General features: G+C 34.3%; 1 protein-coding gene and 1 pseudogene across 6 annotated transcripts, besides 3 other annotated features; one reads left to right on the top strand and one right to left on the bottom strand.

Annotated features, from left to right (window-relative positions):
* Nucleotides 1-237: 237 nt before the first annotated feature.
* On the top strand, nucleotides 238-27,518 carry RAD51AP2 (RAD51 associated protein 2). Of its 6 annotated transcripts, none has more exons than XM_024453116.2 (8): nucleotides 238-474; nucleotides 7,683-7,822; nucleotides 17,517-17,598; nucleotides 19,173-19,253; nucleotides 19,355-19,448; nucleotides 19,697-22,928; nucleotides 24,005-24,085; nucleotides 27,142-27,518. In XM_024453116.2, the coding sequence occupies exons 6-8, from the start codon at nucleotides 19,709-19,711 to the stop codon at nucleotides 27,291-27,293; spliced, it is 3,453 nt and encodes a 1,150-aa protein (XP_024308884.1). In that variant the 5' UTR covers nucleotides 238-474; nucleotides 7,683-7,822; nucleotides 17,517-17,598; nucleotides 19,173-19,253; nucleotides 19,355-19,448; nucleotides 19,697-19,708; the 3' UTR covers nucleotides 27,294-27,518. The 6 variants fall into 6 exon arrangements, with proteins under 6 accessions (XP_024308884.1, XP_024308885.1, XP_047301686.1 ...); XM_024453117.2 differs by lacking the exon at nucleotides 238-474 and adding an exon at nucleotides 1,050-1,285; NM_001321233.1 differs by lacking the exon at nucleotides 238-474 and having other exon boundaries at nucleotides 27,142-27,513.
* Nucleotides 18,930-20,129: an enhancer, noted in NCBI's record as "BRD4-independent group 4 enhancer chr2:17699235-17700434 (GRCh37/hg19 assembly coordinates)". NCBI's record gives its function as "activates an origin of replication core promoter dependent on BRD2, P300/CBP, MED14 and CDK7 cofactors, and independent of BRD4, by STARR-seq in HCT116 cells {active_cell/tissue: HCT116}" and the evidence as "EXISTENCE:reporter gene assay evidence [ECO:0000049][PMID:35650434]".
* Nucleotides 19,385-19,634: a silencer, noted in NCBI's record as "silent region_11188". NCBI's record gives its function as "represses an Ori minimal core promoter by ATAC-STARR-seq in GM12878 lymphoblastoid cells {active_cell/tissue: GM12878}" and the evidence as "EXISTENCE:reporter gene assay evidence [ECO:0000049][PMID:35858748]".
* Nucleotides 19,396-19,945: an enhancer, noted in NCBI's record as "OCT4-NANOG-H3K27ac hESC enhancer chr2:17699419-17699968 (GRCh37/hg19 assembly coordinates)". NCBI's record gives its function as "activates a minimal SCP1, AML or CMV promoter by ChIP-STARR-seq in naive H9 embryonic stem cells {active_cell/tissue: H9 hESC(naive)}" and the evidence as "EXISTENCE:reporter gene assay evidence [ECO:0000049][PMID:30033119]".
* On the bottom strand, nucleotides 23,077-23,779 carry LOC101928149 (nascent polypeptide associated complex subunit alpha pseudogene; annotated as a pseudogene).
* Nucleotides 27,519-27,590: the final 72 nt, after the last annotated feature.

Raw genomic sequence — 27,590 nt, 5'->3', positions numbered from 1 at the left:
GGTAGAGGGACTGGAACACTGTCCCATGTTGAGTGAAGAATGCCATCAGCTTTACCAGTTGTCCCGTTACCTAAAGCCACGTCCCCAACTCTACAACTTTCACACCCTGGATTTTTTTTGGGGGGTGGGGGGGTATAGAGGAGGAGGAGGAAGGTGCTGTAGGTAGGGGCTTGTTTCTTCCTTCCTGTGTATCTGGTAGAATCCTCAATTAACCAGAAACAACTGAAGAGCTATTTTTCTTCCTTCAGTTGCAAATTATGTTCTTTATAGAAATTTCTAGCCTTACTTCCACCTTATTTCTTCCCAGATTCAAACAAACAAACAATACCAACAGTAGATTTTCAGGTGTAAAATACTCCATGTAATATTCTCACTCGCTTTGTGACGTGGACGAATTGAAAACGGAGAATGACAGTAAAAGTGTGAAATTCCAGTAGTGTAACAGGTCTAAGCTCATAGTCCTGGGAACTCCTGGTAATATTATTTATTAGAAAATTTGTGTGTAAAATATATGAGCCAAGAAGGGTGGAACTTAAGGCATGGGGATATTTTTTAAAAATTGGAAGAAAACTTGAAAGTCATTATTAGAAAATGAAAAGAGACCGGAATTGAAGAATGGATTTATACTCGTTTATTCTTAAAGAATAATGATAGTAATTTACTTCTATGGATAGCATACCTTTATTCCAAAAGCAAAGGGTATTAATCATTACAGAAAAGGTGTGTTACGTAAGATAATTATATTACGTAAGATTTTTTTTTGTTTTTCTGAGAGAGACAGGGGTCTCGCTCTGTTGCCCAGGCTGGAGTGCAGTGGCAGGATCATAGCTTATTGTGGCCTCAAACTCCTGGGCTCAAGTGATCCTCCCGCCTCAGCTTCCCAAGTGGCTGGTACTACAGACACACACCACCACGCTTGGCTAATTTTATTATATTTTTGTAGAAACAGGTGTCTTGCCATGTTGCCCAGGCTGGTCTGAAACTCCTGGTCTTAAGCAATCCTCCTGCTTTGGCCTCCCAAAGTGCTGAGATTATAGGCATGAGCCATCTTTTCCAGTCCTATTCTGACTTTTTAAATCTTTTTTTAAAAGATGCAGATAGACCAACAAAATAAAATAACTTCCCTATAGTCAAATAGGAAGTATCTCTTAGAATACAGCCCTACAACAGTTTTTCTGACTCATAGACTGTCTCATTGTATATGTCTGTGCCCCTTCTACATGTTTTTCTAAAATACTGAAAAAAATGCAAGACCATGAAGCAGTGATTCCCATGCAGTTAATGGGTGAGTTTTAGGCCTCCTTCTGCAGAGAAGGGAATAAAAATTCTAGTTTTAATGAACTTGATTGATCATGTCTCCCAGTCCTCCTCTGATTTCACTCTGTAATCCATGACTGGATCTAAATTCAGTCTGAAAGATCACTCTGTCTGTAGACACTAATTTCCTCAAAATTTGAACAATCCACAATAAAAGTTTCATAAGGCCCTGCCAGATGAATCACCGTGAAAGATTTGAGTTTCCTGGAAGTTTCTTGGGGCCTCAGAAATAGTCATAGCAAATACAGGTAGTGTGCAGCCTCAAGAATAGAGAATACTTTATTCCATTTTCTCTTCTACTATTTGGCCTGACATATAGATTCATAGCAGTGCTCTGAAGCTGGAAATTTTTACCATTATCGTTAGTGGCAACACTCCATAAATGATGATAACAGAATTGCACTGTGCATGGCCCTGTTTCTTTTCATTCATGACTTTGTAGGTGTCTTTATTGCTAGGCTGTACTCTTTTTCAGTTGTGTGAATCGCCATTGCAGATAATATCACGGATCCATTTTGGGGGACCTCGGTAGTTGGAAATCATTGAGTCCAGAAGGGTCTTCAAAAACCCTTCTTGCCTAAAGCAGATCTTACTGACTTGTTTCTCCCTTTAATCTGTGTTTTCTTTAATCTAGAGTTTTTAATTAAACTCTCAACCTCAACAGAGATTCTTAGCATAGAAGTTAAGAGAAAATACGAACAGTGATTTCTATGCCCCCTCAGAGACAACCAACTAAAACAAAACCCACTTTTTTTTTTTTAACCAAACAGTTTAAAAATTTTATCCTGCCTGAAGGAGGAAAGAAACAGTGGGATCCCTCTTTTTTTTTTTTTTTTTTTTTTTTGGTGTTCTTACCACATATATCCTTTAGAGTTCATCTTATCATTCCTAAGGGGGTGTTCAAGAAGAGAAAGAATGATCACTGGTGTTCTTAAATCCAAACATTCACCTTACTCTCGACTTCCTCCTTTTAAAACTACCTATAGAGCATCTTCATGTTAATTTGTTACAGATGGCTCAAACTCAACATCTCCAAATGATTTTCTCCCCTGCCCCTCTGCCTCCTTGGATCTGTTCTTCCCCCTGTGCTGCCTAGCACTTTGACGATGCCCACTATCAACCCAGTCCTCTAAATTAGAAGCTTGGATGTTATCTTCAGCTTCTCCATTTCTCTAATTCCTCATCACGTCGTTAACTGAATCCCGTGAATTCCATTTTCTGAATGTCTTGCAAATTCATTCCTCACTGCCACTGTATTAGTTCAGCCTCTCATCATCTCACTCTTGGAACACGTGTTCTTTCTCATTCTCCTAACTGTTGCAAGTAAAATCGCGTCACTTCCTTGAATAAAATCATTAACTGGTTTCTCACTTTAAACAACATAAATTAAAATTCCTTAGCACAGCATGCAAGATCATTTTCTGGCTCTTGAGAGCCCCATCTCTTGCCATGTCTTTTTAGTGCTCTATGCTCAACCGTTCTGTGTTACCTGCAGTATACCAAATAGGTAATAATGTTTCACTTCTCCGCACTTATCCATATACTCTTTCCCTTTTCCTGGAAACTCATCCTTCCCTTGTCTTGCCTTTAAGGGTCTTATTAATCCTTCAAATTCAGCCAAAAAATTATTTCCCAGCAGAAGAATCTTTTCCTACCACATAGCAGACAGTTTACAGAATTGTTTTGAAGATTAACTGAGATAGTATATATGAAAATACTTAACTAGGAAGCTCTATTTAAACATAAGATACTATATAATGACAATACATCTATTAATTATTAAATAAAAGCCAAAGTCTGCTTTTCATTTCAAAAGGCAAAATGAATGCTACGTTGATATGAGAAAAAACTCTCGAATCATTTTGATTGAATTTAAGGTTCTTTGATATGAAGAAACTTTATAACTTTTAAGCATGAGTGTCTTCCACCTTGATTAAATTATTATCATGCAAATAATCCACAAAGTATTTAAAAGCATTTATTAACTGATTTTTCAAGGACTTTTACTCAATTATTCTTGTTTGTTTATTTTTCTGGACATTAGGCATAAATTACAAGTGTAGAACTATATTAAAGTATCTTCTGTTTTATAGCTTTTAAATGATTTTACTATTCTTATGTTATTTGATTCACAAACAGAGAGCATTACCCCCATTTCATAGGTGAGATCAACTCCTTAGGAAGGCCATATTACTGAACATTATGAACTTGATTAAAAAAAAAAGAAGAAGAAGAGAAAGGCCATATTGTAATGCTTTCTAAAAGTAAAGTGGTATAATGTGACAAAACTAGGTAGGGGCAACCCAGTAATGTAATACTAGTTATTCAGCAACTGCTACTCTCCGATGCTGAAAAAAAATGAGCTACTAGTTTCTATCTTTCCGAGTTTCAGGTTCTTGCTTGGGATGACAAGAATATGCAGTAATAGATTATAATTTAGGAAGAAGATGAATTACCATTACATACACTACTAGAAGAGAAAACCAAAAATATTTGGCTCACTTTGTTTTTCTTGATTAGGAAACCAGAGTATATAAAAACAAAAAGTCAAAGAGTATTGGGTATTCCACTAATAGTTCATAGTCTAAAATACCATGGAAAATTTTGCACTAAAATTAAAAATTATATACTTACTAAAGCATTTTTAAAATTTATACATTTTGCCTCAAAACTCAGAGGCATCAAGGAATTCATTTTTATTCAAGTTGCTTGAAATATAACAAAGAAGGAAGAAATTCTATTGGAAAATCCTATGGAGTAATAGTTCTGAGGCTATCTACTCATATTTGGTGATAGAGATGTAGTTTACTGTGTCATTTCAGACTGGTTTGTTGTATTTTTGATTTTAATGAAAGAAAATTAAAACGAAATCAGTAAAACATCATCCAGATGGCTGGAGTGCAATGGTACAATCATAGCTCACTGCAGCCTCAAACTTCTGGCCTCAAGTGATCCTCCTGCTTCAGCCTCCCAAGTAGCTAGCACTACAGGCATGCACCCCTATGCCTAACTAATTTTTTAAATTTTTTGTAGAGATGGAATCTGGCCAGGTTGACCAGGTTATTCTTGAACTCCTGGCCTCAAGCAATCCTCCTGCTTTCACCTCCCAGTGTGCTTGGATTACACATATATGATTTTATTTGAAAACAAAATTTCACTGCTAATTTTTAATGTTTAAATCACGGAGGGACTAGAAGAGTCATAACTAGAGGTAAAGAGAATTGGAAGAAAAGTTTTTACAATCACATTAGAAGAAATAAACACTTGAACCAGAAAAGTGGCAGTGGAAATGGAAAGTGTATGAATTTGATATTGTTAGAGTAGAATCAACAAAATTTGATACTTGATTATGTATATTGGAGAAGGTAAAGTCAAATGCAATCATAAGATTTGGAACTGGATCATTGGGACAATGGTATTGATTTTAGTAAAAACAGAAATGCAAGTTTGGAGAAGAGGAGAGCAAGAGGATTGACTTAACTGCTGGACATGTTTCTTGCATTTGAAAGGCTATTGGCACATATAGGTGGAGAGGTCCAGCAGACATCAAGAAATTGCAGGGATGGAACTTGGGTGGGAAGTCTGTGCTAGAAATATAGAATTGGTGGTTATTCATGTACAGGTAATGGCTGTAGCCAGAGAATAGGTTTGATTGACAAAGGAGGAGTATAAAGAGAAGAGACAAGAAGAGTAAAACTTAACCACCAAAGTTTAGAAAAAAGGAATTTGGAAGAGTTGCTTTTGCACTTGTTATTCTCCCTACATATTTGTTTGCAAATTCCTAGAAAGTAGTAACAGTTTTACTGATTTTAGTATTGTCAAACAGCACTTGGAATATTGTCTGTAAGAAAGTATTTGCAGGATTAAAATGACGATGTGTATTTAACCCAGCTAAAGTAGAACATGGTCTGTTAATAACAAAAATAATAATTTGTTTCAAATATATGCATGCTGGCTAAATTGTTTTAGAAAAATGTTAATATTTAATTAACTTGATTAATAACTTTTCATATGCACATGCATGCATATGAACATATATGTGTTTATCATCTATCTATCTATCCATCTATCTATCTAGTTTTTTGTTTTCATATTTGGAGTCTGTAGTAGATATTTTTGGAGGAGTATGCCTAGCCCACAAGTCAATGGTTCCCTTGCCTCCAAAAGGGTCTAAAGAAACAGGTTCCTGACTGCTGTTTGTTCTGGACACTAAAACCTCGCTAGACCAATTGGATTTTTTTCTTATAATTTTTTTTTCTTTTTTGAGGTGGGGGTCTCGTTATGTTGCCCAGGCTAGTCTCAAACTCATACAAAATTCCTGATATCCTTATAAGAGAAAAAACACAGACACAGAAAGACACAGGCAGGGAGAATGCTGCGTGACTACAGGGGCAAAGATTGGAATTATGCACAAGCCAGAGAACACCAGAGATTTCCAGCAACAACAAGAAGCTAGAAGTGGCATGGAACAGATTCTCTCTCAGAACCCCCTAAAGAAATCTCCTGATGATACTTTGATTTTAGATTTCCAGCCCCCAGAACTGTGGGAGAATACATTTTTGTTGTTTTAAGCTTCCAAGACTGTGGTATTTGTTACAGCAGCCCTAGGAAACTGGTGTAGAGGACAACTGCATTTAAATACAGCATGTGGGTGTTAGGTTTATGATAAAGAATATTCTGGCAGTGCGATAATAGAAAGAGTTTTCTTTTCTGCAAATATGCTTCCCCCCCCACCCCGGCTTTTTTTACTGTGAAAATTGCCGAGGTTTGAATTAAGAGATGTGGATTCAAAAACCAACTCTGCTTCTTATTAGATGTGGTCTTGGGCAAATTACTTAAGTTCCCTTCATGCCCTGATTTCCTTATTTATAAATTGGGAAAGAATAAAAAGTAGAGATCTATGGTTCACAAATTCAAGATATTGGGCATCTAAGAAATTCTGGATAATAAGTTAATAGTGCTAATTTGCATCTAAGATGATATTGAGCCAGTTTCTTCCAATGCAAAGCTAAATTAAATTCACAGTTTTAGTTTTATTTAAAATAACTTCCTTAGAGACCTTTCATTATTGTTGCTCATGGAAATCGGATTAGGTATACTGATCACAGTACCACTGCTGGAAGTAATTCAAATTCTGCTTAAGATTTGCTAGGCTAGTTTATGGATATTTGAATAAAATTCAGTATTAATAGCACTGTAATGTTAAACAATATTCTGAAATTAGACTTATATAACACCTTGCCAATGATCCATATAATGTCATTTTTAATAGACTATTTTTTAGAGCAGGTTTAGGTTCACAGCACATATGATGTTTTTAGAAACATTCATTGACTGAATTCTGGTTGTGTAGATTGTAGTACAGTATTAGAAGTTCAAACATGTTGATTGTGGATTGGTTGAAAAATAAGACTAAATAACATTATTTAATATGTTATATATCTTAATATTCATAAGGGACATGTCCTAAGGCTTTCCCGACTCCCCAGTATGTGAATATTACTCTAGGAAAAAATTACTTTGTTGGTAAATGGCCATATTATTGCCTATGAGTATAAAATGAGATGATAAATAACAACAGCAAAGCTACATTCAGCTGCACATACCACATGATCAGCTGACTAAACTTACTAATTTAATTAACTGCAAGCAACAGCTTTATAGTTCCATAAAATTCACATTTGTGCTTTAGCAAAATGACATATTACTACCTGTCATGATAACCTTCAGGGTCATTTACAAATAGATACAGCCCAAAGATTAAATCTGTAATGGTTACATTCTATGAAAATCCTGCTACCTGAAAACTTTATGAAAATTTTCATACATCATTGTACAATTTGAAAAATAAGTAGTTGAAACTTGAGAGCATGAGCATTTTGAAAGCAGTTTGAATCTGATGGATTAAGGACCATTTTAAATGAACTAAAATTTACTCTTTGGTTTTTATGCCTTCAACACTCACTTTTAAAAATAGGCCTTTATTAAGACTTCTAAATAGATTGAAGTTCTTTCTCCCGTTATTGAAGATAACAGATCTATCAATCTAAGAGAATGGACCATTAATATTATTATTTATGCTTGTATTATTTTTATCTTAAAAGATATGTGGATAATTTCCCACTTTGGTCTAGAGGAAAGAATACAGTAACTCAATATATGTCTTTTTTTTTTTTTTTTTTTTTTTTTTTTTTTGAGACAGGGCCTGACTCTATTTCCCAGGCTGGATCCAGTGCAGTGGCACAATCTTGGCTCAAAGCAGCCTCAACCTCTTGGGCTCAAGTAATCTTCCCACCTCAGCCTCCCGAATAGCTGGGACCACAGGCATGCGCCACCACACCTGGCTAATCTGTTTATGTCTTTAGGGACACCAGTATTCATCTGAGGAGTCAGTGCCTCTCGAAAGCTGCCAAAATAACTTGTAGGATCATTTAAAAACTAATTACAGAAAGCTTTACCCAGGAACATTAAGGGAGTTAAGATAAAATGTTCCTGATGCTGTCAGGTGAGTGTGCTTTTTATTTCCTTCTCTGAATATTTCTTTTTGGTCCCTGCTATAGCAAGGCTTATGCTGTTACTTGGTGACACATTTTATTCAAATAGTATGAATAAGCGGAAAGGTGCCAAAGATGAATCTCCTGAGATTTATGATAGAATCTTCTCCAGAGAGAAGAGAATTTTACTCTTTGGTAGTTATGGTGACACTCTTGTTCTGTGAGAAGAACTGGGAATGGGGCAAGAAACAGGCAGTATCAGTCAGTGATTTCTGATCAGATCCTATGCCTGAAGTTAGATGAATCTGAGCAGGGCAAGATCCTCTGAAAGATCTGACTCACTAAGAGCATGTCCAGACAAAAGTGATCCCCCAACCTGTAGTTTATAGTGTTCCTAGAGCTCCACTCAAATTTGTACCCCCAAAGGACGAATTGTACAATGGAATTCCACAGGAAGATTCAGATTACAATGTGATGCTTAATTTGTATAACTGTGAATTTTCTACTTATTCTTTAAGGTCTTGTTTAAATCCCATGAATACTTCCCTGCTAATCTATCCCAGGGTGATATTTTCTTCATTTCAATTTTTAGTAGTCTTAATATGAATGGAATATTCAATGAAATATCACCAGGACACATAGTTCTTCTTTTAGATTTTAGTATCTAATGATATCATAAAGCTACTTATTGCAGAAGCTGCATCTTATATATTTACTTTGTATCATTCAGAATGCTAAGTTCCTGATTCATAATAGAGCTCAACATTATTTGGTTGATTAATTACTCTTTCTTTTTAGCTTTCATTCTCAGTGGGTTATTTTTCTATGATTTTACTATCTAGAAGAATTAACATTCCATTGGAAATTTTGATAATTGGGAAGATTATTTTTATAACTTGATAATTTTATTTATAATTCATACTATGATACATAATTCTGCACTTACAGAACCAAAAACAGTAGAAAACAGTTGTTTTTTAGTAATTCTAAAGAGAAAAAAAATTTTAAGTAATTTATTTATTTATTTTTTATTATTAGTTGACAAATTATGAATGTGATGTTATAGTAAATGTATACAGAGGAAAGTTGACATGTCCCAACAAGTGATTATATTTCTTAATATATAAGATATTTTATAATATGTTAGAATATACTATGAAAGTATTTAAGAAAAAGTGACTGTGTGTTTAAGTTAATTTTCATGAATATAACATGATTAGATTGATGAAAGAAAACACATAAGACTTGACAGGGAATTTCTAGATTTGTATGACTGGGAACAGTTTTTACAATTGGCAACAGACACTGGAACCATCTTTTGGCAACTAGTATAATCATTTGAAAGCCAAGAAATATGTTTATATTCTTTCTTAGGTACTGGTCCTCCTTTTTTGCTACTGACAAATGAAGTTTGTGCTAGACTTTATTTTATTTTATTCTTTGAGACATGGAATTGTTCTGTTGCCCAGGCTGGGGAGCAGTGGTACAATCACGGCTCACTACATCCTCCGACCTCTCCCGGCCCAAGCAATCCTCCCCTTCAGCCTCCTGAGTAGCTAGGACCACAGCTGCGTGCCACCATGCCAGGCTAATTTTTAAAATTTTTTGTAGAGATGGGTGTTCCTATGTTGCTCAGGCTGGTCGTGAACTCCTGGCCTCAAGTGATCCTCCTTCCTTGACTTCCCAAAGTACTGGTATTAGAGGCGTGAACCACCGTGCCTATCTGACTTTATTTTTTCTCTAACTGTTCATTAGGTAGCTTCCCTGAAACTGATCATAGCTTTCCAAGGTCGTGGTAAAAATTTAAATAGTTTTTCCCTCTCATTCTTTTTAAGGAAAATGCCATATATATTTTTATGTTTTAAGAGTGATTGTCTATATGCAGATAATATTAAAATCTACATGCTACTGATTTAATGATTATTTGTCGCCTACCCATACTTAAACTAATTTTTGTGAAATTAGTTCCAAAAATCACAAAATAAACACTTACCATATTAATCAATCAATAAAATATCTTCAAGGAGTTTCTGATTAAAAGTATTTAGATGACAACAAACCTGAGTAAAAATTTTGCCACCTTGCAATATAGTCAAAATGAGACTACATTAAAGCAGGGATCAAAATTTGAAATCATTTTTTAAAACCAAGCCAACCACACTAGTAGAAAGAGGTAAGAGGTTTATTTTTCATCAAGTGTTAAGAGGTTTCTATCCTCACAAAGAATTTATAGGTATCATCTGATAGTATATATAAGTAGAACAGAGTATAAATTATATCATTTTTCCCATGATGATATATAGTTAGAACAATATTAATAGTGGCAAAAAGAAGCTGGGAGAATGCAGTTCTGATGTTTCTGCCCTTCATAACCATGCCAAATCATTTTAATATGCATATGAACATGAAATCATCTGCATTTATAATCCTTATCTGCTGTTGAACTCCATTTATGCTTTTCCAACTAGCAGTCTAGAGCAATAGCACTTTCTTCAATACAATATGTTTAAATTCAGATGCCTCACCCTCATCCTTATGATATACTTTCACACAAGTTCAACCTCTCTACTCCCCTCTGCCATTAATAATATGTTTATTTTTCTAGTCAACTGGGCTTGAAACCTTGAAATAATCACTGATTTCTTACCCTCAAAGCAGCTGTAACAAAGTTCTAATGATTATTTCTAAAATATATTATTCCTGTGGCCGATACTACAATACAGGTTCTTAACATTTCTGGTTATATTATTTCAATGTCTTCTAAACTAGACCAATTTCTCCTAGAGACAGTATTCTCTTGCTTCTGGTTCATGCTAAATTGGCTACTATATAAATTTTTCTAAAATGCTATTTACATATATCATTTTCCTGAAACACACAAATATTGTCTTGTCTGTGGCATAAAGTCCACCTTTCCTTAGCTTTGGCATGCAAGGTTCTGAACACCCTGGCCTCAGCCTCTTTCCCTCCTCTCATCCTTTTTTTCTCTCCATTCCCTCCCTTCCCTTGTTCCTCCCTTCTTCCTTTCCTCTCTTTTTCTTTCATTCTAAAAATAGGAAACACAGACAGAAAAGGATATCATTCATAAATGTACAACATAATGAATTATCACAAAATGAACACACCACTCAGGTAAAGAAATAGAAGGCTGAAGCATGATAATTTTCGGGGTGCGGAGCCCATATTTCTTATGTTCTTTACTACTCTATATTGGCTGTCAATAGATTTCTGGCCTTCTTAAAATTCTTACTATGATTTCAGTGTAAATTGATACAAGTTTATAGTGTTCATTCCTCAAAGCAACAGAAAAAAATCAAAATAAAACAAAAAGCCTGAATTTTGAGCTTGTTTTCTTGCCAGAGTTTGAAAACCTTTTTCATTAAAAAAAGTGCAAAATAGTTTTGTAATTCTACTGAACCTCTGGCAAATTCAGTTAAGGCACATTTTTTGAGCAGTGCAGTGAGTGTAGTTTTGACTGTTGTATATCCAAACTCTTATCCTTTTCTTGTATGCCTTTCTTGTAGAGGGTTTAGGGTTACAGAAAGGGTTAGTGGTGAATGATGCTACATTTCTGTTTCTTGTCTTCTATTTCTCAATCCCCAATACCAAAGTCTCCTGCAGACATCTGGGATACTTCTTTTGGAGTTTAAACTGGCATATTTTGGTTCCACATTGAAGTTCCTGACAAAGTTTGACCTCGTATTAGTACTTCAACAATGGATAATTATGGTCTGAGGCACTTCGTCTATAAATCAAACTCGGTAGAAGGAGTATTCCCTGCAATGACATGCAGCAATTGAAATAGTCATCTTTTTATTTTTTGGTAATTATTCTACCAGTTTGGAGTGTAAAAGTAGAAAATATGATGCTGCTATTACATTGCTAAGCAAGCAGAAGGATATCCAACAAGGAACCACATATAAATTTAAGTGTTCATGACTACAAGCCTATACCTATTGAAAGACGAGCCTTGTGTCCAGAACAGTGATGAGCACATATTCTGTGCTAAGTATCATTTGAATGAATTTTTTTATATGTGTTTGCACCCGACAGAGATTTTATATGCAAAAATAAAAAAAAGAAAATCCTCTGTCTTTTTATGCTTTACTTTTTAAAAAAAATACAACACCTGGATTGTTGTAGAGCATATTAACTTAAAATTCTATTTATAATCCCTTGATTCATTATATTACTTATACATTACATATATAATATATAATATCATAATTAGCATGGCTTGGAAATATATGTTCATTTTGCTGCTGCTTCTCTTTCTTACCTTTTTGTTTTCCACATACGAGAAGAAGGGTCATATATGTATGTTATCTCTTTACTCCAATCATGATTACTGTGGTTCTGTTCCTGCTTAGCTACACATTATATTCCAAGCCCAGCTGCTGCCTTGTTTGAATGTTTCTTGAAGAAGGCATTGTAACTTTAACCAAGCAGCCCGTATTCTATATCTATGGTTTTCTAGGTTATTGTCCAAGGTGCAGGCCAGATAACTTTTAAGAAAGTCATTTCTAGAGTCCCTCTGAGTGGTCTCCAGAAATTGTGGGATTAGCTTGTGGAAGTTGATATGAAACTACAGTTAAGTGGGTGATGAGCATGAATGACCTCAGGCAAAAATTGCAAAGCAACTTTCTTCTCTATTCATAAGTACTATGTAAAACAAATATTACATATATAATGAGTATGTATCAGATTGCATTTCAAAATTAAACATGTTGATCCTATTTTTTCCCCATATAGGGCATAATTATCTTTGAGAAACTATTAAAAATTAGGGAAAAGGTTATCCTTTAACAGAATTGTGTGACAGCACATTGCAGTACGCACTAATGCCTCTCCCCAATTCCCAGTGTTACATTTCCTTGTCTACTTTCTGTGATTCTTGGCTCTTTTTCTGCTAGACCCCTTCAAATATCTGCTCAAGGGTATCATGGCCTTGGTCACATTTTCTTTCATTAATTCTCCTCTTAAAAGGTCCACTGATGCTAAATTCAGTTATGTGGAATATACCAAACCCATTCATTATAATTAGAGAAATCCTGGGATACATACTACATTCAGGATAGGCAAGTTACTATATCATAATGTCTATTTAGATTTAGTTTTTTAAAATATTGCTCAGTGTCTTCCAGGCCCTTGTTGCTTTTCACCCTGATTGGCCAAGCCTTCTTGTAACCAGATTCCTTGAGTCAGTGGCTTTCAGATTAATTCATCTTTATTCCTACCTCTCAGTTTAATGTTAGAGCTATTTCCCCACTTTCTTTGTCTCTGACAAAACAGAGCTCTATTTTTTGGACCTTAGGTTAAATTTTGTTTCTGGTTGAAACTACTCTCCTGAGGCTTCCTAGATCCTGTTTTACAGGAATTTTTCAATCCTTTCCTCTGTGAAGCCTTCCTTGCCTATTTTGTATAGAATTTATGTAATCCCTCCCCGAATTTTCACAGCATTTATTTTTTACAGTACTTATTTTCTATATCATTCACTTGGTATATTTTCAAGCTGACAGTTTAAAAAATGTCTATCATATGGTAGGTCCCATGCTAAATATTGGAAATATGAAGATAACCAAATTAACTATCCCAAGTCTTAAAGAGCTAATAATTTAGTGTAAGAGATAGTATGTTACAACTAATCTCTATATAATTTTATAAGTATGCAATAGATGTCTGAAATGTTATGGGAACATGGATGAATAATTGATTAGTATGGAAATAAAAGGAAGTTTTACAGAAAACTATAGGCTTATAGGAATTAAATGAATGAATATAACCTTTAAGACTCAGCTTTTGGACACCATTTCTTCCTGAAAGTCTCCCCTAAGTCTCCAGACTACATTTGATCCCCTTTCTTCAGTGGCTAGATATAACTTTACTGTAGCGCTTATCCTATTATACTGAAATAAACTATAAGTCTGTCTCCCTACTGTACTCTAAATTTCTGGGAAAAAGACTGTGTATTATTTTGGATTCCTGATACTTAACGCAATGCTTGCTGAATAATAGATGCTCAATAAATGTCTTTTGAACTGAACAACAAAACAACAAAACACATGAATGTTTGGAAATTGCAAGTAGTTTTGTGTGGCAAATTGTGAGAGGCACAGGAGAGGAGAGTGAAGTGGCTGAAGATAAGGCTGAAAAATAGCTAGGACAAAGTTGTGAACAGCCTGATTCGGCAATGTATTGTTGGTTATCCTTTTATATGCATATTTCTTGTTAGAATGCATTCTTTAGAGACAAGGATTAAATCTTACATGTCAAAATATTTCATTCAGCATCAGGCACAGATCCTTGCACATAATAGATGTTCAGCAAATCAAAGGAGAGTTAAATCATCACATGACAGCATCCACTTAAAAGTACTTTGAAGATTATATTATGATTCAATGATTATTCATTGATAGTAGGCAGTGGCTATACTCTGTCCTAGATAATGATAGAGGGAGTATTCTTTTGATCCATTGTTTTCCTGTGAACAGAACCTATGTGCATTCTGAAATCACGAAACTATAAACAAACTTAAAATATTAAATAGCTACTTTTTTGTATATGTTAAGTTTTGGACTTTCCACTCATAAAGAACTATCAAATGAGATGAAAACTAACTACAACGAGCTTCTTTTATTTTTAAATGAGGTTTTTGCATATGTCCTGGCATCAAATATAGAGTCTATTGAATTGCTTGACTTTGATATTAGCTAGACAAACTGCCTGGCTCACTACAGCTATAAGCTTGTAGTAAGAATTGACTTAGATAGTATGAATAATATAAATTACTATTGAAACATAAGACAGAGTTTGATGCTGTACTATGCTGGTAACTGTTAACAACTGGTTTTCTAGAAAAAAAAGCTCTGATCTGTAGCATATGCTGATTTCAGTGATATAAATACTTCCATTATGAGCCATTTACAGTGATGTAAATACTTCCAAACTACCCACGTGAAGTTACTGAAATACACAGTTGGGAAGAGATGCTAACAATCAACTCTTCTGAATCTGTAAGAGCCAGCTCAGCACACTATGAGTTTGATAATAATTATTGTAATTAAAAATGTTTTTAAATGGACATTGACTGGGTGCCCAGGACTCTTCTAAATGCTTTATATACTGTATTTCATTTACTTTACCCAGCAATCTATGAGGTAGGTTCTATTTTTTAATTCCCATTTATGGGAAGCTGTGTCTCAGAAAAACTAAATAATTTGCTCATATTACACATCAAGGAATGAGTGGACTATAGATTCAAAAACTTAGTTTGATTCGACTCTACTCCTCCAACTACTATTCAATATTTCTTTCAGGATATAAAATTAAATTATGTTCAGCATAGTTTTCATGTTAAATGTATTTTTTATTTAATGTCAATATATGTAATTCCTTGAAAATTTTAAGTAAAAGATAGCTATATAAATTTGCCATGTCCAACTAAATATTTATGTGACTAAACTCAGGAAAAAACTACAAAAGGAGGAAGTAATCTAAGTATTTTAAGTTTATATGATTAAAAAAAGACATTTTGTCCTCTCAAAACCTTGAAAAGATTTTTACAAAAGTCTAATTGGAAAGAACTCGTAATTGTTTTTAAAAAAGGTGTTATTTGCAATTGCACGGATTCTAATAAAAAACAAACTCTTGCTTTATTTCAGCGACAGGGTTCTTAAATTGTTACTGAAATTTATTAGAGTATCAAATGGATGTTGTAAATAGTGGAACATTCCACCTGTTTTTCCAATACTTAGAGCTCAGGAAAAAGGTTATTTCTAATTAGCTAAGTAAGCAGAAAATATAATAACATAATAATGCGGAGAAATTTAGAAGTTAAAAAAAAGGTTAGCAAATAAAACTGTAGGGGTCTAAAGATGACTGTAAACTTTGGATCACTGCAGAAAACTTTCCTAAGTAAGACCTGCCACTATGCTTTAAGCAAACGAAGCAGCATATGGCCTAGACTGAAACTGCGAAGGGCTTTATACATTTAAGGGATGGCAAGAAGTTAAGTGCTGCAGGAAAGTAAGTTGTGTTGTGGGAGTAGATGTGGAAGCTGAAAAAAACAGTTTAGAACTGAACTATGAGGAACTTTCTATGTCAAATTAAAGTTTGTATTTTATTCTGAAGGGCATCAAAGGTTAAAAGAAGTTCTTAAGAAAGTAACAAAATGATTAATATTCTATTAAGAAAAAAACTTTTGTAATGGTATTGGGCAGAAGTTGAGAAGAGACTAGTAAAATGAAGACTGGTTTATTACAATATTCTCAGAAAGAGATAACGAGAGATTGAAATAAAGATGATACATTATGGATAAAAGGGGGATTAATTTCAGGGTCATATTTGATGTAAAATCAACAAGATTTGATGAATGTCTATGTAGGGGATGCATTTTGGGAAGTAGTAAAACAAAAAAAGAGAAAAAGTTAAGGATAATATAAGAGTTTTAGTTTAGGAGACTGGATAGATTATGATGTCATTAATGAACATTGAGGACAAAAAGGTGGTTTATAGTTTAAAGCATTTGCACATATGTTATCACATTTAAGATGTTATTTATGTTACAAATTACCATTATTGCGCTGATAAAAACTTAATCTTATATGCAAATAAATGTACACAGTATCCTGATTTTCTTATTTTCCCCTAGTGCTTATCATTGACTTGATGAAAAGTGCTATTTGTGTTATTTATAGCCATATTTATTTTAAATATTTTTAGTAAGTGATGATGTTTTCCTTTCTAACTGCTGTATTTAAATATTTTTGTTAGTGGTTCTTTTAACTGTTTGAAATATATTTTATTATCTTTCAGTTTGAAACAAACTTTTAGATTTAGCATATTTATTCACTTCTTACATGATTTATTAAAAGAAGTAAAAGGGAAAAACTGTCTTGTCATATTTCTGGTTCTACCATGAAACACAAATGATGCTAAAACCACTAATATTTGAAGTCCATTTTGAACTCCTATGGTGTTATAGCTCAGCATAGTTTTCATGTTAAATGTATTTCAACATGATTATAAAAGCAAGTCTCTAATGTATAAAACTAAAGCAAAATAACACAAAAACAAGAAACTTAAGGCACTTTCAAGACACCATGAATCCATTTGAGTTGGTAAATGAGTATTAACCATGGAGTCATTTCATTTCTTCTAATTAACTGAGGTACTTAGAGGCACTGGGGATACAAAAATTAATAAATCCTTGTCCTGATTAATGGAGCCTAGTGGAGGGGACATATAAACAACTCAATACAATAAAGACATTTTAAGTGTTCTACAGTTAGAAATAAATTGCTATAGGAAACAGATGACGATGCAAGTAATTCTGCCCAGGGATTGGCTACAGCAGGGAGGAGGAAGAGAAGCTTTCACCGTAGAGGTAACTTTTGAGTAGGGCCATTTAAGGCTTAATAAGAATTTGCCAGGAGGAGAAATGAAGGGCTTTGAGAACATACATAAAAGAGCAAGAAAATAAACATTCTGGTGTAGGCAGCATGGGGGCAAATTGTTTAAAAAAAAAAAAAGAAGCTGAAAGAGTTAAGTAGGACCTAGTAGTGAGGATGTGACATACTATGCTTAAGGACATTAGACTTGATATTGATATTGAGTAAATTTCTGATTTAACTCTAATAGGAGATTGTGTCATATCTTCAGTATGGGGTTTATCTCATGAACTCATTAATCCTTTTATTCATTCAGAGTTGAACTATAAGAAGACACCACGCTAAAAGAAATCAGATAGATGCTGTCTTTAAAGCTCAGTTTACTGTTACTAAGGAAGGTAAGAACTTCAAAGGAAGGGTTGGGTAAAGTGATATAGAAAAATATGACATTTGAAATGGGCTTTGAGGCATCAGTAAGATTCAGACAAGTCTTATTTATATTTTGATTATGATGAGTTGAAGACATAATTTTTTGCATTTCTCACTTATAACTGGTTCATTTTCTAGGTGGCATTTAAAAAAACAAAGGAAAAAACCCACATAAATAGTGGTTTCAATAGCCATTGTTTGAAATGGCAGTGGCCATTAGTATAATGTTTAAATAAGTAAATGCAAGAAAAGACTCTTTTTTTGGTCTTTATGGCTGTAAGTTTCTTCAGGATGGAGAAAATAACTATACATTTCTGTATCTTGGAGTCAAACAATTGTTGAGTTACATGTAATACTTCTGGGTTTTATTTGAATTTTAATCCTTAAACAATGTAGAGTTGTTAAATAATGATGTGATGGAGATATAAAAAATAATGTGCTCTTGGGCAAACTAGCAAGATGAAGAAATAATCAAATATCAAGTTACAGATCAATCTAGACTAGAAATCACAATCAATGGCATTTACTTTACAGATTTAAAAAGTCTTGGTCCTAATATCACACTAGCGCACCAATTATATACACCTTAGCTATACAAGTCACCCCTTATGGGCTAAAACAGAATGGATTAGAAAAGAATATAGATTTGTGGAAAATCTGGGATAGAAAAGCAATAGAACATAAGATACACAGAAGTAGAACTTGGAGAATTCACTGATGTGGAATCTGAACCACTGCCACATTCTTATTTATAGTGTTAATGAAGTGCTTCTGCTGCAAGGCTTTCTACAAACTTAAGTAAACATTTCTCTAGAGGAATTTACACTGAAGTAATCACAATGTATCTAAGAGTATTTAAAAAACATGAAACTGGTGAACATCTTATTACCTAAAGTAGAAGGCTAGTTATATATTGCCATCTATGCCATGGGAGGGTTCTGAAGTTAGGATTCTGGTTGCATGTTATTGTAGTTATTATAAATTTTAGCATAAAATGTAATATAAAACATACCAAGCTTGAAACAACCACCAAGGGAATCGAGGTGTTTATTACTGAGCACCAGTTACATGTTTCTTAAGAAACATGTATATAATAATAATAAACATTTTGAAAAACATTTTCTTCTTAATGATTATAGAATTCACAAAAACCAGAATTGACTGGAAATCATAAATGATTCTCAAAGCAGGAAAAAAAAAAACAAGAAATAGCGTCTAAAAATTTGTTAGTAGGTATGAGTCAGACCTGTATTATTATGTTTACACTAAATGGGGTAGTTCAAACATATAATATTTTATCTCTAAATAATTTTATCCACAATATTTGAGAAGAAATCCCCACAGCACATAGTAAACTATTTTTTTTTTAGTCTTAAGTGAAGAATAATAATTATCCGGATAATAATTTCCACACATTTTTTCCTCAGATAGACTGGTAAGTACTGGTGGCTTTTTTCCCCCAAACACACTTTATTAGTGAAGTGGAAATATTAATATGATCTTAAGTGACGCTGGAAGGATTAAAAAGTTTTTCCATACACAGAGAGATTTGGTCTGGTGCTGACAGAACTACACGATTTTACTGGAGAGTCACTCGAGCCGTTGTGGAGATGCCGTTTCTGAGGTAAACAAAATTTTAGAATTTAGAAAATAAAGTTGTTACCATTCACAAATTTTTTTTTTTTAAGTGAGAGGTTCTAACTTTTCCCCTTCGTTCTACCACAGGGAAAAAAGCATTTAGACTCTCTACAGTCGTGGCATTAGAAAAAGGCGCTAAAAATAGACAATGTAACGGCCCAGGGTGCTCCGACCTTCAGTGGTGAGACAACCGGGGCGCGTGGGTGGGGGCAGGGAGAGGAGGGACTGAGGGAGGCGGGGCGGGGCTGAGGCTGGGGCTGTGGAGGGGCGGATTCGGGGTGGGGCAAACCCTGAGATTAGGCTAAGGCCAGGTCTTGAGGGGCGGGTCAGGGGCGTGACCAGAGCGGCCCGGAACCGCCTATTAAGGGATTGGAGCCCCGCCGGGACTCGGACAGATCCTTTCCATTCGCTGTCATGTCTCTCCCTCAGCCCACGCCGCGGATGGCCGAGCTCAGAAAGCCTACCTCCTCTTTAACGCCTCCTGAGGACCCGGATTCCCAACCACCTAGTAGCAAGCGGCTCTGTCTTGAGGAGCCTGGAGGTGTCTTTAAGGCGGGCTGGCGACTGCCTCTGGTGCCTCGCTTGTCTGAGGCGGAAAAAGTCTGGGAGTTGTCCCCTAGACCCTTCAAGGGACTCCTTGTTTCAACGAATGCTATTTTCGATAACTCCACAGACTCGTGTGTGGAGAAATCAGTCAGTGGGAAGCAGATATGTAATCTGAAATGCTCAAATCTCAAATTCCAAATGAGTAGCTGTTTGCAGTCTCCCCCCTCACAAAGTCCTGATTCTGATTTGAGGGCTTCAGGAAGGTCTGAGGCAGGCCTGCATGACAGAGAGGCTTTCAGTGTGCACCGCAGTAATAGCTCCAAAGCAGGGGTTAGTCAACTTCTGCCCAGCACCTCTATACACGATATACATGGAATTAGAAATGAGAATCGAAAACAACAGTTTGTCCAAGGAAGAGACAATGTTCACAAAGAAAATCCATTTTTAGATGTTACCTTTTACAAGGAAACTAAATCACCATTTCATGAAATTAAGAACAGATGTAAAGCTAACAGTGTTGTGCCATCAAATAAAAGAGAAAATAACATTTCATCATCTGTACTAAAAATATCAAAATCTCAAAACCAGCCCAGCTTGGAAATTGCCAAACCTAGCTATTTTAGAGATAGCGGCACAATAAGTGTCCCTCAGTTTCCAATGGACTTAAATAGCAAAATGTCCTCTGTCTATTTAAAGGAAATAGCGAAGAAAAAGAATGACAAAAAAGAGGCATATGTTAGGGATTTCACAAACATTTACTGGTCCCAAAATAGACCTGATGTTAAGAAGCAAAAGTTACAGAATGATAAAAAAACTGTAGAAGCGGAAAACATTTTTTCCAAATGTTATGAAAATGACTACCCATCACTCAGTAGCCAAAATACTTGTAAGAGAAAAGACTTGATCAGTTCAAACTACTGTAACTGCAGTAGTATCCAGTGTAATGTAAGAGACTCTAGAAAGAATTTCGCTATACTAGAAAATGCAAATTGGGAGGAAGCAGAATGTCTGGACAGTTACGTACTTACCAGGCTGGAAAAATCTCAAAACTGGGACTGTAACGTTAGACATATTTTGAGAAGAAATAGAGGAAATTGTTGGATTATAAATAATTGCAAGACTAAATGTGAAAATATGAAAAAAACTGAAGAAAAATGGAATTGGCTATTATTATTAGAAATAGACCTTTTAAGCAAGGAAGATTACCACTGTGCAAAAGTCATCAATGCATATGAAGAACAATCAAAGCTTCTCGTAAGAGAAATATTAGGTAGTCAGACAGCTTTAATAACGACTGTTTGGCTAAATGGTAAAGGAGAAAATGATAATACTCTACAGTTGAGATACAATACTACACAAAAAGTCTTTCATGTGAACAACCCTTTTGAAAGTTTCATTATAGAAATTTTTTATTTCCATAAAAGTATTTCAGGAAATAAAAAAGATAATAGTATTTTAACCTGCTGTAACATTTTGAAGTGTAAAAAGCAAATTGGTATAATTGGTATTCAAAATCTAATAACCAGAAACATGAATACAAATATAAAGAATGGAATTTTAAGCATATATTTACAAGATAGTGTTTCAGAACCTTTAGATATTCTATTGAAAACTAACATAGCTTTTTTGCTCAATAACTTTGACTCTTTAACAAGAATTGAAAATGATTTTGAATTAGAAGAGGAATGCATTTTCAAGTGCATGCTTTATTTGAAGTATCCAAAAAATATAGTGGAAAATCATACTGCATATCTAGTAAAGATTTTAACTTCTTCAAGACTATTAGAAGATAATATGAAACCTATGTTAAAGAAAAGGAAGTTATTTAGAACTGAACAAGTTTTTGAAAAGTCTAAGAAAAAACTCATTAATTCCTTCAGTATGACAACTCAAAATACAGGTTTTCCGATTTTTGAAACATATGAAAAAATTCCCCTTTTAATGGACTTTGATGACATGGATGAAATTTCTTTAATAAGAGAAATTACTTGTCAGAATATGAGTTGTCCTCAACAAGTTGTGAATGTGGAAAATTGGGCTCACTATAATTCTAGTACTGTTAAAGCACATGGTAATTCTTGTCCTCAATTTATACAGAACAACCGAGGATACATTAATGAAAATTTTTATGAAGTAAATATGCACAGCCAAGATTTAAATATGGAAAGAAAACAGGGACATAATAAGATCAGTAACTTTGACTGTGAGCACATATTTGAAGATCTCTGCAATGTTAGGCAACAGGCCATACCAGCAAGCCACAACATAATACATAATGAAGAGACCCATACCACTTCTATAACTCAAGTACTAAATTTTTGGAACTTGCTAAGTGAAATAGAAGAAAAAAAATATGACTTAATTTTGAAAGAGGAAGTAAAAGTCACAGCTGAAAGTTTAACAAATAGTTGCCAAGTTCACAAAGATACTAAGATAGAAAAGGAAGAGAAAGATAGTTTTTTTCCAATGGATGACATGTTTTCTGTACAGTCAGTTTCATTAATAAGTAAGGAAGTAAATGTGGAAGAAAATAAATATGTTAATCAAAATTATGTAACAAATACAAATGAATATGAGAGTATTTTGCCAGAAAGGGAGATAGCTAATTCAAAGGATTTTCACAGAAAGAATGACTCTGCATTATATATTAATCATCAATTTGAAACTGGTCTGAGTGAAGGGAATGATGAATGTTTTCAGGACTTAGCTGCTAAATATTTATCAACAGAAGCTCTGACAATAGTAAAAGATTTTGAGATGAAGAGAAAATTTGACTTAGTACTTGAAGAACTTCGTATGTTTCATGAAATTAGTAGGGAAAATGAACTTCTAAGCACTGTGGAAACAAACAATGGGCAAGAAAATTACTTTGGAGAAAATGATGCTGAGAAGGTAAAAATGGAGATAGAAAAAGATTTGAAAATGGTTGTGGTCAACAAAATACGTGCATCTTCCTCGTTCCATGATACTATAGCAGGTCCTAATATGGGCAAAAGTCACCAAAGTTTATTTAAATGGAAAACTGTACCCAATAATGGAGAACAGGAAGTTCCTAATGAGAGTTGTTATCCAAGTAGATCAGAGGAAGAATTACTTTACTCTACTTCTGAGAAAGGTATGAAATTCATTTTAGAACATTATTTCTCATGCTAGAAAAATTACTGCTTTTTTCTGTGTAGGCCAAATGTATAATTTTGACAACAAAGAAGGAAGGTAGAGATAAAATGCAAGACAATGTTTATTGATGCACACTATTTTCTTTCTTTTTTTTTTTTTCCAGCAAGAAGCCATAGCTTTATTTATGATAGAAACAATACAAATTTCAAAGCAAGCTGCAGTTACTCCTTGGAAACACCAAGAAAAAAAAAAAAGGTGTTTTCATACAGTTACATTGTTAATTCCACAATAGCATTTACCACATATCATTACTTGTACTTCAGGGCTCAGACTGCCTTTGCTCTCGACACATTTGCTTCTGGCATGACCAATTCTATGTCCTTAACTTCTTTTTTTTGAGACAGAGTCGAGCTCTGTGGCCCAGGCTGGAGTGCAGTGGCACAATCTCGGCTCACTGTAACCTCTGCCTCCTGGGTTCAAGTGATTCTCCTGCCTTAGCCTCCAGAGTAGCTGGGATTACAGGCGACTGCCACGACACCCAGCTAATTTTTGTGTTTTTAGTAGAGATGGGGGCTTCACTGTGTTGGCCTGGCTGGTCTCGAACTCCTGACCTTGTGATCCACCCCCCCCGCCGCCCTCGGCCTCCCAAAATGCTAGGATTACAAGCGTGAGCCACCACGCCAGGCCTTATGTCCTTAACTTCTACACCTGTTTCATCAACCTCTTCCTCTTCACTCTCCTCTTGTACAGTTGGAGTCTGTGTGTTTTCTTGAATGTTTGAGACAGCTTCACCTTGAACTTTGACACAGCTTCACCTTGAAATTTGAATTTCTCAGCAGCTGCTAGCTGGGTGCACACTATTTTCTCATAAAGATGTATTCAAATGTTCAATAATATACTGAAGTTGAAGGAAACAAGTTAATTTTAAAAAGGAGCTTTGAAGAGTCCTACTTCATTTTTCTAAATATTAGGAGCCAACTGAAGGAAATATTTCTGAAAATATAATTTGTTTATACCATTAATATTTTATATAAAAGTTACTTTTTGCTGTAACATATCACTCTTTATTTTCAGATTGTGAAACACCTTTACCTAAAAGACCTGCTTTTCTCCCTGATGAATGTAAAGAAGAATTTAATTATTTATTGAGAGGAGGTAACATTGTGGTTACTTTTTAGGATAACTTCTAAGATGATTATTGCATTATGGTATTTTTAGTATGAGGAAAGTATAGATATTCATGTTGTTCAAAATAAATACAAAGTTTTAGCACCTTTTAAGAGCATTAATATTATACTGATAAATTCTAATAATTAAAAATTTGGTAACAGTTAAAATGCTATTTAGAATATTATTGGGAAATGCACTCTGCAAAACTACGTTCAGATATTTGTATTGATGTATTAAAGTGACTATATGTTAAGTGTTGCATATGCCTAGTTTACACATCTAATAGAGATGTGTAATAGGGACCATGCTCTCTGATAGAGAGCATGCTCTATGCTTCTCATTGTTATGAAGCTTTTATGTGGACATTTTATTATGTGAATAAAAAATATTTGCCATTTAGTCATGTCAACATGATTTTTGACTGATGTTTATACTTTCGATTACATTAAAAATACAACTAGGCCAGGCACGGTGGCTCACGCCTGTAACCCCAGCAATTTGGGAGGCTGAGGTGGGCGGATCACGAGGTCAGGAGATCAAGACCATCCTGGCTAACACGGTGAAAACCCATTTCTACTAAAAATAATAAAAATTAGCCAGGCATGGTGGTGGGCACCTGTAGTCCCAGCTACATGGGAGGCTGAGGCAGGAGAATGGAGTGAACCCGGGAGGCGGGGCTTGCAGTGAGCCTAGATTGAGCCACTGCACTCCAGCCTGGGCGACAGAGTGAGATTCTGTCAAAAAAAAAAAAAAAAAAAAGCACACACTAAAGAAAAATTAAACAACTAACCTTATCTTTTGCCCAACAGATCTACAATATCAGAATAAAACACAGTATGTCTAACATTCATTCCACCTTGTGGTACCAAGGGTGTAGGGTAGGGGTAGGATTGAAATTATGGAACTAGGCAAAGTTATAATCCGGTCAGAAATTTCTGGTATTATACAACAAGGTTAGATCTAAAAAGAGTAACATTGTAGGTTAAATATATTTACTAAAACATCTTAAGTCATGCATCATGTCTCAAAACATTTTTTCTGCATTCTCGTAATCAGTAGAATGTTACCTCTGATACTTTTATTGTCACCTCAGAATTGTATCTTTTCCTCTTTTCTTAGCTTACAATGAAATAGTTTTAAAAATTAATCAAAACATTGGAAGATCAAAGCCCACAGGTAGTCTCTTCTCCCCGGGATGAAGGAAGTAACTGATGGAACAATACTCCATGAGTCAAAAAGTAGTATGGCAAGAATTAGCCTGAAAAGGATAGGGTTTGCTTCTTCTAGGGCAGAAAGAAAGGAAGAAATTGGCTTAGCAATATATTTTGATATAGAATAAAGGAAGATTAGGAGTATATCCTCATGCTGTCATTGTGATTATAATTGTGATAATAAAATGGATATAGGAGGAAGATAAAGTATGTGTGCACATTGGAAAAGCAATCATTACATTTGTTTGAAATATCTAAACCCATATAACAATGTGATTCTGCCTTCACAAGTTAAAATGACATGTTGTGAAATGTCAAAAATAATGTATGAATTCAGCCAGAATTATTTAATACTATGTTAGGAAGTAGATTCACTTTCAAAGGGTACAAAAGTTGAATGATCATCCTGAGGCTTGTTAAAATCCACAGTGTAAGAGAAAAGTTGGAAGATACTGGGGAATGGGGTTAATATGAATGGATTTTACTGATCTGCCTAGTTAGAGTGGTTGCCTGCTTATACACTGTCATTTTAAAGGCATCAGAAAGATCCCAGTTATCCTGAAAAGTTTTGATACCCACCCACCTGCCATCATGATGCCTCTTCTCTTAACGTTTCCGTTGACTACTAAATGTCTTCAATGAATCCCTTCTCTCTTTCCATCTCTCTCTTCTCTCTGTGGTGTGAAGGCAAGTACAGTATTGAAATTATTTTGAGCACATGTTGTATGCCAACCAGCCAGTTCACTGGCGCTTTATATATCATTTAGACCAATGGAGGAGGATCTTGTGATCCAACAATGTTGTCTTATTTAAACAATCCCTTTGTGTTTCAAAGTTTTTAAAAGATCTAGCAATAATGTATTTTTCTTTAACCTTTAATAATTAATTTTCTAATTTTAATATTGAATAGAGTATAATAAACTGATTTTATCTATTTTGTGTTGTTTTTCTCCCTGTTTATTATACATGTAGCTTAATTCTGTATTCTACTTCATTAAAGTTTACATAGATACATACAGATTCTTTTTGGTTCAGGTTAGTAAAAATCATACTGCTAACCTTTTGTCAGATTTAACATTTGATTACACTGTTTTTAGTATAACAGGCTATTATATTGAGGTCATACTGATTCAATAAAGTTTGATTTACATTTTTGGTTTTATATATGTACCCCACAGTTTGGTTTTACATATGTACCCCACAGTTTATTTAAAAAACCCTGAAAGTTAGAGATATTGTATTTTATTATCAGAGGTAGTTGATTTTACATAACTGATTTAGTAACAGATGTATGTATCTCCATGAACTGTTTTGGACATCTTCGAAAATGATATAGTATAATGTTAAATAACAACTTCCAACTCAGAGCCCTCTATTGATGCATAATAGATGGAGTGCATTTGTGTTCTATTATTGACAATAACCTCCATTAGAAACCAAACATAACCATTAACCATACAGCATAGTTGTTTAGCTACCAATAGAAAAAATGACCTGGTGTTTAAAGCCACAACATCAAGTTGGCTTTAAAACCTATATGGTTTTGTTGTGATGGTTGTTAAGTTAGACTGCCTGATTGGAATGCTGACTTTATTTAGTTGCTATATTTTATGGGGCAAGTTACTTAACTTTTTGTGCTTATGTTTTTCATATTTTAAAACTGGAGCTAGAAATAAGTAAAATAATGCATTTAAAGTATAGTGTCTGGCACATAAATAATAAGTGCTCAGTAAATATTCAGTAAAAGTTGCTAATATCATGATTAGAAGTAAAGATTTTTAGGCATAGAAACTATTGATAATTTTTACTTTTATTGTCTTATATTTTTAGGTAGTCACTTTCCACATGGCATTTCAAGAGTACGACCGCTTAAGACATGCAGTAGGCCAATCAGGATTGGTTTGTCAAGAAAAGCAAGGATTAAACAACTTCATCCTTATCTGAAACAAATGTGTTACGGAAACTTAAAAGAAAATTTTTGACTTTCATATTTCAAAACATTTTACAACATCTAGAAATGTTTTGTTTTCTTTGGATATATGTTCTTCCAGCTTGGGGGTTTGGGGCTTGCTTTATTATAAAGTGGAGAAGTTTTTTTTTTTGAGTGTATAAATTATGGTATTACCTTTCAAAGTTATAAAATATTTTATGGATTTTTATATGATATAAAAATGTACACATTAAAGCCGTTTCATTATTGGATAAAACATGTTGACTTATTATTTTTCATGATATATGCATACAATCCTTTTGTGGAGAAAATTGATAGCCTTTATTTT

This window comes from Homo sapiens, chromosome 2, assembly GCF_000001405.40.
Source record: "Homo sapiens chromosome 2, GRCh38.p14 Primary Assembly".
Classification (NCBI taxonomy): Eukaryota; Metazoa; Chordata; class Mammalia; order Primates; family Hominidae; genus Homo; species Homo sapiens.
Note: the sequence above shows the minus strand (reverse complement) of the source record. Positions and strands in the feature narration are given on the sequence as shown.

Coding starts and splice junctions, on each gene's coding strand:
- RAD51AP2 (NM_001099218.3), top strand. CDS start 19,682: ATGTCTCTCCCTCAGCCCACGCCGCGGATGGCCGAGCTCAGAAAGCCT. Junction 22,929..24,004: donor TTACTCTACTTCTGAGAAAG/GTATGAAATTCA, acceptor CTTTATTTTCAG/ATTGTGAAACACCTTTACCT. Junction 24,086..27,141: donor TAATTATTTATTGAGAGGAG/GTAACATTGTGG, acceptor TTATATTTTTAG/GTAGTCACTTTCCACATGGC.